At 40.1% G+C, this 14,394-nt stretch overlaps 1 long non-coding RNA gene across 4 annotated transcripts in view, besides 1 other annotated feature; it reads right to left on the reverse strand.

Moving 5' to 3' along the window:
• Window positions 1–14,394, reverse strand: part of CCDC26 (CCDC26 long non-coding RNA) — a 328,546-nt gene that overhangs the window by 22,001 nt on the left and 292,151 nt on the right. The gene's annotated exons all lie outside the window — the stretch shown is intronic.
• Window positions 6,686–6,765: an enhancer, noted in NCBI's record as "active region_27966". NCBI's record gives its function as "activates an Ori minimal core promoter by ATAC-STARR-seq in GM12878 lymphoblastoid cells {active_cell/tissue: GM12878}" and the evidence as "EXISTENCE:reporter gene assay evidence [ECO:0000049][PMID:35858748]".

A 14,394-nucleotide genomic window follows, 5' to 3' on the forward strand; every position in this document is an offset into this window, starting at 1 on the left:
TCTCAGTTCCACTGAGACGTATGTCTCAGGTTAAACTTCCCATCACTCCTCCTTGTTATAATTGCATACTACCCCTCTAGTCTCTTTCTCTCATCTGTGGAAGGTTTTAGCTCCTGGACTTCTTTCTCTCCACCACTAATTCTTCTGTTATAATTATTTATTAATACCACCCCCACCATCCACTTAACACCATGGCTTCTCAGTTTTGTATTTCTTTTCTATCTTCTCTTCCAAGGATATTTTCTTTTGTGGCATCTCAGCTCTCTGCTTCCATGCTCTGGGTCTTGTCATTGCTAATAACTGCATTAACTCAAAAATAGTGCCCTCAAGCATTCTAATCTCTGATCATTCCTTCTTTTCTGATTGCTTTCTCTAGTCCTCATTCCCATTTGAACCATTCTTGCTTCTTCCTGAAATCTGCAATTATTTGTACAAATTTTAAATGATCAATCAACTCTTTCCTGTCCTTTCTTCCCTTCTCCTAAATTTAGTGTCAGTGGCTAGGGTGATCAACCATCCCAGTTTTCCTGGGGCTGAGGAGTTTCCCAGGATGCAAGACTTTCAGTGTCAAAAATTTAAAGCCTTGGGCAACCTGGGACAAGTTGGTCACCATGTTAGTGATGCATGTTATAATCCCACTGGATACTACTTCAACACCTGTATTAAAGTAACACTAGCTATTGTAACATACACACCCTAAACGCTCTAACCTGCAAATAGAAATGGTGTCAAAAAGTTACACAACTATTAACTGCCTTGGCCCAGAAACATGTCACTTTTTCTCACATCCCAAGGGCCCAAACTAGAGCCAAACACCTTAGGAGGTGGTGTTTAGCTTGTGCACAGAAAGAAGATATGAGCCTCTACCACAATTCTATTATTTACCACAAAATTCCCACCAACTCTCCACTGTGCTTGTCTGGCAAAACCCCCAACCTGTTACCCTGTTATCCCACCTGACTTCATCCCTGCAATTGGGCAGCTGACTGGAAGGAAACATAACCCCACTGACTTGGCTAACCTTAAATTCAGGGCAAGGCTCACTGGACCCCTAACCCCTAAATACTGCCTGGCAAATCTAATATAGCTCTCTGTTAATTCACTCTCTAACTTACCCTCAGACTATTTAACAAGTTCTCCTCTCTTATCAAACATCCAAGTTCCTGTTACTCTTTGATCTTGGCTCATAACTGCCACTTATTTATGTGAACAATTTTCTCAGACAGTCTTTTTATCACTTTTCTTAGTGACAAAAGGAGAATATTCCTAGCACCCTGCCACTGAATCAACTAAAATATTGGCACAGGTACCCTGATGCTCTGACTTCCTACTGTTGCAAGGGAGGAATGAGCCCTGTTCCTATCCTCTTCCCCCTCTTGCAGAGTAACAATTTTCTTGCGTAGCAGGCCCCGTACCTCTCACCTTCTTAGAATCTTTCTCCTGCAATTGTCTTCTCTCTCTTTCCTCCTCTACTGAATCATTCTCATCAGCACACAATCATTCTGTAATTAATCGTTCTGTCACAAAAACATTACCTTCAACCTGTACCCCTCTACCTGCTATTGCATATATCTCTGATCCACTTTATAGAAAAATGACTCCAAATTTTGTCTATACTTGTTGGCTATACTCTCTTACTTGCAATTAACTTTTTAAACTACTCCAAAAAAATTCTATTCTCACCAATCTAATAAAGTTATTCCCAACAAAGTCACCAACAATCCCTTCATACCAAATCAGATGGACAATTCTCAGTCTTCATTTTACTTATCAGTAGATTTGGTGTGACTTATTACTGTTCCTTCTTAAAACACATTCTCCAGTTGGCTTCCAGACTCTGCAGCATCCTTTGGTTATCTCATAACTCACTGCCATGTGATCATTGTTCCTGATGGTTAATGTGGAAATGCCTCCAGACTCAGTCCTCTGCTCTCTCTCATCCCTTTCTACACTACGTGCTTAGGTGAAGTAAGCGATCCCATAGCTTTAACTTACCAAAAATAAATAAAAACATGTTACGTTTGCATTGTATGTGTGTGTGTGTGTGTGTGTGTGTGTACATATATAGTTCCATCCTCTCCCTTAAGCTGAAGATTTTTTTAACCAACTGCCTATACATCTCAATTTAATGTCTAATAGATACTGCAAAACATGTCCTTTTATTCCCGCTTCTCACCCCAATCTGGTTTCCTTTAAGTAACTAGCATCACCATTCATGAGGTTATTAGGCCAAAACCCCAAAGTTATCCTCGATTTCTCTCTTTCTATTCTACCCAATACTTAGGTATAAGATGTCTATGACTTCAAAACACACCCTAAATTTCTAACCACTTTCCACTACCTCCATAACCATACTCAAGTTCAAGACACTCTAATTTATTTATTAGATTGCAGTCATAATTTTCTAGAATATCCTCTATGTTTCCATCTCCATGACCAAAGCCTGCTTTCTGCAGTAAAAAACTTTAGCAGAATTTGAATCCACCAGAACAATGGTGTTTCTCTTACTCCAGCCCCCTCTAGCCTTCCTGTGTCACCTAAGGTGGGAAAAAGGAAGCTAAGAAACACTTGAAAGGTCACAGCCCAGGGATACAGGACCACTAAAAGACATAATTCATCATAAGCTTATAGAATGTCTACTTCCCCACACCTTACCACCAGACCAACAGGGATCCAGTATAGTAGTAGCAAATTACAGCTGAAGGAGCTCCAAGACACAGATTCTATCTGATGAGGAGTTCTTGAGGGAGCACAATGATAACAGGTATACAAAACAAGGACACTAAAGGACTTTTAAGTCTCCAACACTTTCAGCTTCAATGCTAACCTACCCAAATTAACATAAAAACTAATGCTAAAGGCCTACTTTGCCCAATATGTCATGTCCAGCTTCCAACAAAAAAATACAAGGCATACTAAAAGCAAGAAAAGAAATAGCTAATGGCAACCGTGTTGCCTTTTATGTATCTAATTTGACCTGTTAACTTTCAAAATTCAAAAACAATGTAACACAGCGCTTGTCAGACCATCTGTTTAAGTCAGCTAGTGGTCTTCACAATTTTCTATTGTTCTCCCTGTCAGCAAGAAACAAATTAAAAAGCACACTTCTCAAGAGATGTATTTATTTATAAATTTCATGCATCTTCTACTCTTTTAACAGATTATATTTATCATATATCACACACAAATTAAAATGAATAAGATAAATAGTCATTATAAATTGAGCTTCTAACATTTGTCCCCAACTCCTGATGGGTCACAGGTAACTTAAACACATACAGCTTGTTTTGAAATCCACTGGTATGGTAGGCAGAATTCTGAGATTTCTGTCCCCTAGCATCTACACTTTGTATAATTTCCTTCCTTTGTGAAGGAGGGCAGAACCTATGATTTGCTCCTCACTAGTTAGAATATAGCAAAGGGGGTAGAATTTTGCAAATGTAATTAACATCCCTAACCAATCATCCTTGAGTTCATCAAAAAGGCTATCTTGGGTGGGTTTTCTAGGACAGCCAGTGAGTTCTTTGAAGGGGGATTCAAGCCTTCTCTGAAAGAACAGACTCAAAGCAGGAAAGAGGCTCTCCTGCTGGCTTTGAAAAAGGTGTATTGAGAACCACCTATTGAGAGGAGTTTAGGAGCTGAGGATCTCACTCACAACCACAAGGAGCTCAATTCTGTCAACAACCTGCATATGCTTAGAGGAGGATCCCAAGATCCAAATGAGAACAAAGCCTAGCCAACACCTTGATTACAGCCTCAGGCATAACTGCTCAAACTCATAAGGTTACACTGCCAATTAAGCCATGCCTGGACCCCTGACCCAAAGAAACTGCAGATAATAAATGGGTGTTGTTTTAAGCCTATCGATGGGTGGTAGTTTGTTACACAACATGGTAAACGAATACAACTGATGCTAGTTAATTGGTAGACTCTAGGGTTCACAATTTATAGTAAAGAGAGGCTTATTGGTTTGGGAGATGCCAGCCCTGCATCCTGTTGGATGTATATCAAATGAGATTCGACCTGTGGAATGTCCCCCTCCTTTCAGATTTTCCCTGAGTCTTACATCTCAGTTTTGAGGATCAAAAAGTAACATCATGTTTACTCATTTTACCTCTCAAAGCCATACAAGTTCACTAAAGTTCTTCTGACTTAAAGGATCTCAGTTACAGCTCCTGAAATAAGTGGTCATTAAGATTTTATGAACAGGTAGTGGAGTGAGGGTGGGCAAGGCACAGACAATGTCTTAGAGTTCCTCCACTGGTAGCAAGAATTCTGCCACAAGTGGGAATCCAAACATCCCCGTGCCAACTCCTAGTTCCCAATCCCAACCTCATGCCCTGCAAAACACACACACACACAACTCCAGCATCACCCCAACACACACACAGGTGCATGAACACACACTTGTGTACACCACTTTCCTCTCTTTCCCTCACAACACACACTCTGCTGCTTCCGAGTTTTAGATGAGAATCAAGTGAGAATAGACTTAAACAGAGATTCACATTCCAAAGCTGAGTATTCATCATTAAGTAATGATCAGGAAGTGTTTGGATGTAGAAGCACTTTTTTACTAACATTTGACTCTGGCATGCTCTGCATTCTGAGTTTTACCTGGACAGGCATACGATCAGATTATCTGCAGGAAGACAGCCCCTCATTGCATGGGAACATGATTGAATGAGATCTCAATCTAAGTGCCCCCAAAAGTCAGAGCTTGTGGGGTTGTATCTTATCTTGTCTCTTACTAACCACATGAATGAAAGAAAACCAACACATTACCCTAATGCTCTACAAAAGAGACACTAACACCTGCCCCATAATATTGCTGTGAAGATTAAATGAAGTAAGGTGAAAGCTCACTGTCATAGCACATGATGGAATCTAAAGTGGGCGCCTGCTTCTTTCATTTGCCAACGTGTTTCTACACCTATGGTACCTTAGGATTAAATTTTGTACTTCAAAATGTAATGTGCAATTTCTCATCAAAATAGTTACTTGCTTCAATTTGTCTCTTCACTAGTGTGTACAATCCCCCTAATGAGTGCCATGTTTAAGGCACCAAATCAACACTAATTAAATGCCTAGCACATTAAGGTAATATTTTGAAGTTTCTTCCTCTTTCTGTTTCAATGTTGACAGTAATTCTTGATTGTTCTAAAACAAACAGCTTTATAACTGGGCAAAAATGAGGGAAAGATTTCCAGGGATCTATTCTGTATTCCTTCATATTACATTGAATAGAAACTCCATAATGACACATTCATTTGTTTGGTGTTTTTTTAAGTAAATATAAGTAGTTGATCTTGATCCTGTACATCAAATATGTATGAAAAATAACTAATATTGTAGAGCACTTTATATTTTACAAAATGTTGTAAACTTCACAAAAATCTGTAAGAAAAAAGGACTGAATTTTGTTGCACACTTACTAGAAGTCAGTCATCATTCCATCATTCTGGGCATCTTTCATACATTTTCTCATTAACCCTTGTATCCACTCTCTGAAGGATGCTTACTGTTACAGGTTTCCAGTGAGCAAAATAACACGGGAAAAATTAAACATGTTGCTATGGATTATACAGATATTAAGTAGTTTGTCCAAAACTTGAATTTAAGACGTGATTTCAAACTCTTGGCTCTGTTTTCTGGAGGAAATAGTTCAATTTCCTGCTTTTCATCTTCTCTGAGGTAGGATCAGGGGAAGAGGCTTTGTAGGAACCACTCTTCATAACTTATTATATTTTCTTTCTTATTAATTTTTTTATTATTATTATTTTCTTATCTGATCAGTGAGGCAAGGTTTATAGCTTCACCTTTACTGGATCCTCTAAAACACCTAGACAGGGACTGAATATTGTAATTTTTAAGTGAAGTCTCTCAGAATTTTCTAAAGTAAAAAAGTTTATTGAGATATAAATTTAATTTATATCATCAGTTAAGGTTAGCCCATCTCAAAGGACAAAGGCTTTTTCTCTGGCTGATAGCAAATGGAAAATAGCAGTAGCAGATGTGTAGATGATTCCCCAGCTCTTAAGTCAAATGGTCTCTACTGCCTTGGTTTTGTGAAATTACCTATATTTATCACGTTTGCAAAGAAACAACAGAAGACACTTTAATTACACATGAAACCACCTCATTCAGAAAAGACAGCGTGACAGCCCTAAAGCAGTTTCCATGCTGTTCTCTAGAATATCCTCTCAACGTGTGTTTGCGTTTGCCATTCTGGCAAGAGAATAAGAACAATCCGCTGGTGCCTTTCTGGGGGAAAACGGAAGGGAGGCTCACACTTTGTGACAGTTGCCACTAAGCCATTATCCTCCACAAGCATTTAATAGGCACTTACACATTCCAATCCTGACCTGGTCTCTGAACTTATTGAGCTAAATGAAACATGGTCTCTGCCAACAAGGAGTTTCAAGTCCAGGAAGGCCGACAGAGACACCTGCAACTAACTATAAAGTGATATCATAATAAGTAGAATATGCAAAGCAGAGGAAATGGTAACATTTTCACATGAAAATTCATATTTGGGTCTTGAAGGATGAAAATAATTTCAAGCTAAGGGAGAGGGTATTCCAAATCTAGGAATACGTAGAGCAAAAGCTCAGAGTCCTGAAAATGTTTCTTATGCTCAATGAATGAGCCTAAATTAGGCCAATTAATAACCCTACAATGGCTGCTAAGTGTTCAAGTGAAAGGAAGTCACAAGTCTTTCACTTTAAATCAAAAGCTAGAAATGATTAAGCTTAGAAAGGAAGGCATGTCGAAAGCCAAGATAAGCTGAAAACCAGGCCTCTTCCACCAAGCAGTTAACAAGTTGTGAATGCAAATGACAAATATTTTAAGAAAATTTAAATTGCTACTCCAGTGAACATACAGATAATAAGAAAGTGAAAGAGCCTTACTACTGATATGAAGAAAGTTATACTGGTCTGGATAGAAGATCAAACTAGCCACAGCATTCCCTTAAGCCTAGTCTAGAGCAAGGCCCTAGCTCTTCAATTCTATAAAGGCTGAGAGAGGTGAGGAAGCTTCAGAAGAAAAGTATGAAGCTGGCAGAGGTTGGTTCATTAGGTTTTAAGGAAAGAAGACATCTCTGTAACACAAAAGTGCAAAGTGGAACAACAAGTGCTGATGTAGAAGCTGCAGCAAGTTATCCAGAAGGTCTAGCTAGGATCATTGATTAAGGTGGCTACACTAAACAACACATTTGCAACACAAACAACACAGTATTCTATTGGAAGAAGATGCCACCTAGGATACACATAGCCAAAGAGGAGAAGAGGAGAATGCCTGGATTCAAAACTTCAAAGAACAGACTGACTCTTGTTTGGGGCTAATGCAGCTGGTGATTTTAAATTGAAGCCAATGCTTGTTTACCATTTCATAAATTCTAGAGCCATTAAGAATTATCTTAATTTAGTCTGCCTTTGCTCTATAAACGGATCAACAAAGCTTGGATGGCAACACATGTATTTACAGTATGGTTTACTGAATACTTTAAGCCCACTGTTGAGATCTACCACTTACAAAGAAGATTCCTTTTAAAATATTACTGCTCATTGGTGGTGGACCCAGTGTGTGTTTACTGTGTGGTATGTGTGTACTGCTCATTGGCAATGTATTGGTGTGTGTTGTGTACATGTGTTTGTGTGTGTGTGTATATGGTGTGAGTAGTGTGTGTAGTATGTGAGGTGGTATGTGTGGTGTGTGTGATGTGAGTGGTATGTGGGGTGGTGTGAGTGTTGTCTTCCCCAGAGTGTTACCATGCCTGGATTTGCAACTTATGATTGATTATGGTTGCTATAAAAGATTTTAGGTTCTAATCAGATTAGGCCAGGTGTGGTGGCTCACGCCTGTAATCCCAGCACTTTGGGAGGCCTAGTCGGGCGCATCATCAGGTCAGGAGATTGAGACCATCCTGGCTAACATGGTGAAACCCCATCTCTACTAAAAATACAAAAACTTAGCCGGGTGTGGTGGCGGGCGCCTGTAGTCCCAGCTACTCAGGAGGCTGAGGCAGGAGAATGGCGTGAACCCAGGAGGTGGAGCTTGCAGTGAGCCCAGATCATGCCACTGCACTCCAGCCTGGGTGACAGAGTGAGACTACATCTCAGAAAAAAAAAAAAAAGGAAAGATTTCTATAATCAATTACTGCTGTTTACATGATGCCAAGGGAAATGGCACGTCATATGCCTTGAATTTCCATCTTTTTTCAAAAGAGAAGAATCTTTAAAAATGCCCTACCAGGCCGGGCGCGGTGGCTCACGCCTGTAATCCCAGCACTTTGGGAGGCCGAGGCGGGTGGATCATGAGGTCAGGAGATCGAGACCATCCTGGCTAACAAGGTGAAACCCCGTCTCTACTAAAAATACAAAAAATTAGCCGGGCGCGGTGGCGGGCGCCTGTAGTCCCAGCTACTCGGGAGGCTGAGGCAGGAGAATGGCGTGAACCCGGGAAGCGGAGCTTGCAGTGAGCCGAGATTGCGCCACTGCAGTCCGCAGTCCGGCCTGGGCGACAGAGCGAGACTCCGTCTCAAAAAAAAAAAAAAAAAAAAAAAAAATGCCCTACCAAATCTTTGGAGTGGAAGGCAAAATGTGGAGAGGAATGGATGTGTGAGAAGGGCTATGAAATAAAAGAGGCTCAAGTTGAAGTCTCCTTTCTTAATCCTCTTGATTCACTGCTTTCTAGGTGGCATGAAGAAATAATTTTGAACTGACACAGGATCACCCAGTCAAGTTTCTTCTGAACTAAGTAATAAAAATCCATGCTGGGTTTCTCCTGACATTCTATACTATCTGCAGGCTTGCAGCTTCTTTTCATGATGTGCTGTTGATCCAAAAGAAGCCTCTTTTGATGGCACATATAAAACAGGCTAATAATGTAGATTAAAGTATAAGGAAGAGGTATACTTTTCTAAGTCTATTCAGTTTATTATAAAATTTAACTAAGATTGCACCAATCCCCTACTTTCTAGCCTCACCATTAGCAGCTGGAGAGATTTTCACAGGCAATCTCCAGTGAAAATATCCCAGTTACCAACTTATGAATTTTCTTCTTTTAGTTCAAATATAGATAATGATGATGATGTTGATGTAGATAGAGAGAGAGAGAAAGAGTATTAGATAGCCAGACTCATTACTAAGCAGTTGCCATGGCCAAGCGCTGTTCTTTGTAATGAAATGGATAACAAACGTGGATATGACATTGCCCCTAACTTCCAAGGCTTGTCATGAAGTGAAGAATCTAGAAAAAAATAAACTCTAGCTTTGAATTGATGCCAGGGCACAAAGCTGTATTGGGTACCATTAAGACTCAAGGAAATCCTCAGTTCTACCAGGAGAGTTGGAGCTGGGAAATGAAGCGACAGTTCATAAATGTCTTATAAGGGGACAAGAAATTTGAGTTCAGTTACGAGAGATGAGGAAGAAGTTCACCACGTTAATGACAGTGGTAAAACAGAGAAAGCATTTCAGTTAGAGGAAACTAAGTGGGTAGAGGATGGAGACATAAACCAGCCAGATCTGCCTGTGAATTCAAACTAAGCTAAGGCAGGAACAAAGGTCTTAAGGTTGAGGTTAGTACTGAAGATCATGCCACTATCACTGCCCACTTATTATCTTTTGCACCATTTCCTAACTGTTCACTGCCTCCAGTTTCACCAGCCCACTAATAACTTTCAAATGCTTCCTGTTACCTGCAGGATGAAGTATTAAGCAAATTCTTTAAAATGGCTAGTGGAACTCTTCAAAACCTGATGCCTGATCTTTCCTGGCTGCTTCTCCTACCATCACTTACTTCATTCAATCATCCATTCATTCAAGATTTAGTCAATAGCGACCATACTCAAGGCATGGTATGAGGTGGCTATGCAACAAAAGAGGCATGATCCCTGCCCTCAGGACCATTACTTATATATTTTTAAATGTGCCTTTTTATATAGCCACAATAAACTGCATGCAGTTCCTCAAGAGTGCTGTAAGACCCTGTATACAGTCTTTGCATAAACTATCTTTTCTCAGAATGTCCTTTCCTTCTTGACAAACTGATGAATCCCTTCCCATCCTCTAAAATCCTACTCTGCCTCATTTCCTCTGGAAACTTTCCCTGAGTTGAGCATCCTGCTCTCAGTTCGCACTGTCCTTACCTTTTTGGCAGTTATTACTATGTGGTTAGGTGACTATTGGCGGCTTATCTGCACATGGGATATTGGAAAGACTTAATAAATGGTGTAGCAGGGATTCTAACTAGCCTTAACTGATGTTGGCCAACACAGTCATACATACCACTGGGAACCAACTGAATTTCAATTCTTCGCCTCCCAACTAGGCTGTGATCATTGGGCTTTCGACTCACTCATATAGGCGTTCCCAGAGCCCAGCATATAGTAAGCCCCCAACAACTTTCCTAAATAAATGAAAAACTATTTTTTTCTAACACAGACAAATACTCTTCACTCTGACTTTTTGCCAGGTGGTTGCGGGGGTCAATTATTTGTGAAAGTGCCAGAAAAACATCTAGTGCTCTATTGACAAGTATTACTGCCCTGGGAATGATGAGTCTTAATTAAAACATTGGCCTGTTCTCCGTTGCCTCTACTCTCTGCAGCCTCAGGATGCATAAACAATTCTCAGAGTAAATGATGGGGCACATACTGAACAGCAGGAACAGCAAAGAGAAATAAAATTATAATGAGCACCCAGGTTACTTCCTATTACTACTTACAATAGCTGTTATATACAAGATGCCCTTTCCCCTCATACATTGGCTTAAAATGTCAAATTTTTAGCTAAGCATCTCTTTTGGAGAGACTACATTCTACTTTTTTGGATGTTTTGGCTTTACTTGTTTGGTTGGTTGGATTTGGTTCTGTGTTATATTGTGTTATTTGTTTTTATTAACAGCTGCTAGCTGTAGAAGTAATTTCTAAATTAGCTATTGGTGCTGTATGTCAGCTGGACCCAGATCAGGCATTTCAGCTGGTGGCAAACACCTTCCACTGGTCCCTAGTGGTGCTGCCAGCTACCTCCGCTCTGTCACTCTAATCTGGGACTTGAGTGGCATTTTGGAGAGGGTTCATCATCCTAGCAAAGCAGAGGTAAAGAGAATCAGAGCAATTATTCCTCACAAAGGCAACTCTTATTTTTCATGAGATTTTCAGGGTGCCACAGCAATCAGGAATCTTGGATAGGATCATCTCAGAAGCCATCTCTGATCAATTGGTAGTGGCTTCCTGGAAGAATTCTCAGTGGAACAGGACCCACACCAGTTAATAATGTCTACCCCAAGGACAAGGGAGAGGGGAATGAGGACATGGATGTCGCAGACTTGTAGATCCTAATCTAGTTCCACCCTTTTAACTAAGGCATGACTGAGTGGAAGTCCAGAGAAAGAGGTGACTGGTGCATGATCACATGGACAGCCACTAGGATATGTGAGCTTAGCACTCACATCTCTTGATTTCTAGGCCAGTTCTTCTCCCATGATACCCACTTTTATCATATAAGGTAAGAAATCCTGCTATGCGGGAAGAAATTCCTGATCAGAATTTCATTTTCCTTAACAACTTTTGGCAGAGGTTCAGGAATAATATCCAAGAAGCCTGTCTTTGTTCTTCCTCCTTCCTACCCCGGAAGCAATGTCACGTTACAAAAATCACTGCAGATCCCCACACATTAGTGCAGATTTTGACCCTGGAGTTCCCATTTGACCCCTTCTTCTGCATTGTAGCTGCCCCTCCAGCTCCACACATAGCTCTACTTCTCCTTCCAGCCCCTTCTAATTGAAGATTCCTTTGGGAAGACTGACCAGACTTGGATTAGCTTCTCACCAAGATGCTGCCATCCAAATAAAAGCTTCATTTAGCAAATATGCACTTGATCTAAGCTCCAAGGAGAGCCAACCTATCCAGGAAAATGAGTCTCTACACTCAGTCATTCATGTATTCATTAATTTTAAAAACATATTTTGTGCATCCAGTAGGTACCAACTAGTCTCCCAGGTTCTCGGCTTATAAGAATGAGTATGAGACAGTCCCTAATCTAATTTCAAGCTCCTTAACAGTGGGAGTATCAGAAGAAGCAGGAAAGAAGTAATAGCATGGTACCTTTCAGAAACCACAAAGAGCCCAGGAATCTGAGGAGAAGAGATTGAGTTGATTCTAGAGAGTCAAGAGATAGATATCAAACCTATGTTCTCTGCATTAAGTGTTTGGACTTCAGGTGGAGACAATGGGATTCTGAAAGTTTCAGTTTCATATGCAAGAGACATCCCTTTGGCGGCACTGTAGACCAGGGAGAGACTGGAGCCAGATAGACCAATTAGCTGCCTATTGCAATAGTCCATATGAGAGATGATAGACCTTCAATATGCAGTAGTGGCAGGGAATGAAGAAGTCAGTACATAATGAGGAATATATGTGTTAATGAGGAATATATTTTTTAATAAGGAAAATGAATTGCTCCAATCTTTTCATTTTCCAGGTAACAAAAAATGGCCAGAGCAACCAACAAATATACCCAAAGGACCTACAGCTTGGACCCAGTCCTGTGAGTTTATTTCACTTTGTGTTTAGAACACGTGTGACGATCTCTTATGTTACAAGGATCAAGGAGATCCCCACAGAGCTAAGGACCTATTGGTTCTCATGCCAGGCAATAGTTAGACCACTAACAACTTGAAGCAAGGATTTTATATCATGACTTCCTTTCTCCTGCCTTGGCTCCAGACTATGGGTCAGCATGAGTTACACCATAAATGCTCAACAGATTCTTTGGTGCAATCACAACTGGCTTCACTGGGGATCTGCTCTGTCAGTCTTTGTCCCTAGAGTTGTGAACCTAGAGGGAAGTGGTCCCCAACCACAGCAATCACCGACAGCACCTGGGGAAAGTGTGCAGTGGGCCAAATTGCCACAGAGCAGAACACCTGTCACTAGACGTTGCTCTGAAGTGGAATGCTGTTCGGCATCCTCTTGACAAAGTCTCTCAGAGAGTCTTCTGCCTCTGTTATTTCTACTCAGGCTAGAGAGAACCTTTCTTGATATTCTTGCATGTAACCTCTTTAGACCGACAACACTCTTATTTTACCTGCAACTTGCAGCTCTTCAAAGAGATTTTACTTGTGATGTTTTGTCTGTTACATGGAGGAAATAGAGCACTGAAGGTCATTAGGACAGGACTTAGGCTTCCCATTAGCTGGGTCAATGGGAGAGCTAAAGCCTGGCGAGATTAAGAATGTATCTCAAAGGGAAGGTTATTGTTTGAATGTGTTCCTCCAGGCTCGTGTGTTAAAACTTGACCCTCAGTGCAAAGGTGTTGAGAAGTGGGGACTTTAAGTGGTGATTATGTCATGAAGGCTCTGCTCTCAAGAATGAATTAACGCCATTATTGTGGGAGTGGATTCATTATTGGGGGAATGGTTTTCTTATAAAAAGATGAATTTGATCCACTTTGTCTATCTCCCACTCTCTCTTTGCTCTTCCATTATGAGATGATAAAGCAAGAAGGCCCTTATCATATGCTGGCCTCTTAATCTTGGACTACCCAGCCTCCAGAACTGTGAGAAATAAATTGCTGTTCATTGTAAACTACCCAGTCTTCGGTTTCTGTTACAATAGCACAAAACAGACTAAGACATTGTTGAAACATTTACAACTCCTGCCAAGAATAGTTTGGTTCTGTCCAGCAACATTGAGAATGTACAACCTCTATAAACTGGTAACTCCATTTCCAAGAATGTATTCTTTAAAAAATTCTCAAGTCCACAAGGTACCAGATTATTTCTTGCAATTTTTTTCATAGTGAAAAAGACAGAAACAATATAACTGTCAATTACATGGGGGAATGAATTTAAAATATGTTATATCAATATGGTGGAATATTATGCAGCCATTAAAAGAACTAAAGCAGAATGTATATATCCATAAGGACAGAATTCAAGAAATGTAGGGCTGAAAATTGAAACAAATTTTGGAATGATTACAGGATATGATACATTTTTATAGCTTAAAACAAAGCTAATATTATATATCAGATTTGGCAAACTTTTCTATAAAGGACAAAGAGTAAATATTATAGGTTTAGTAGGCCACATACAGACTCTGTAGTATATTATTTGTGTTTGTTTGTTTTACAGCTCTTTAAAGTGTGACAACCATTCTTAGCTTGGAATCCTTACAAAAGCAAGTCATGAATTGGATTTGTCTCACAGGCCATAATCTGCTGATTCCTGCTACGTACTGGTTGATACACGTATTTGTACATAAAAGTATAAGAAAAGATAAAATATATACAGAGAAGACTATATATACTGTATACCTCTATATAGAGTTAATAGTACTTACCTCTGAGGAGACATGGAAGACAACAGGAATGGGATGTAGGACAT

This window comes from Homo sapiens, chromosome 8 (assembly GCF_000001405.40).
Source record: "Homo sapiens chromosome 8, GRCh38.p14 Primary Assembly".
Classification (NCBI taxonomy): Eukaryota; Metazoa; Chordata; class Mammalia; order Primates; family Hominidae; genus Homo; species Homo sapiens.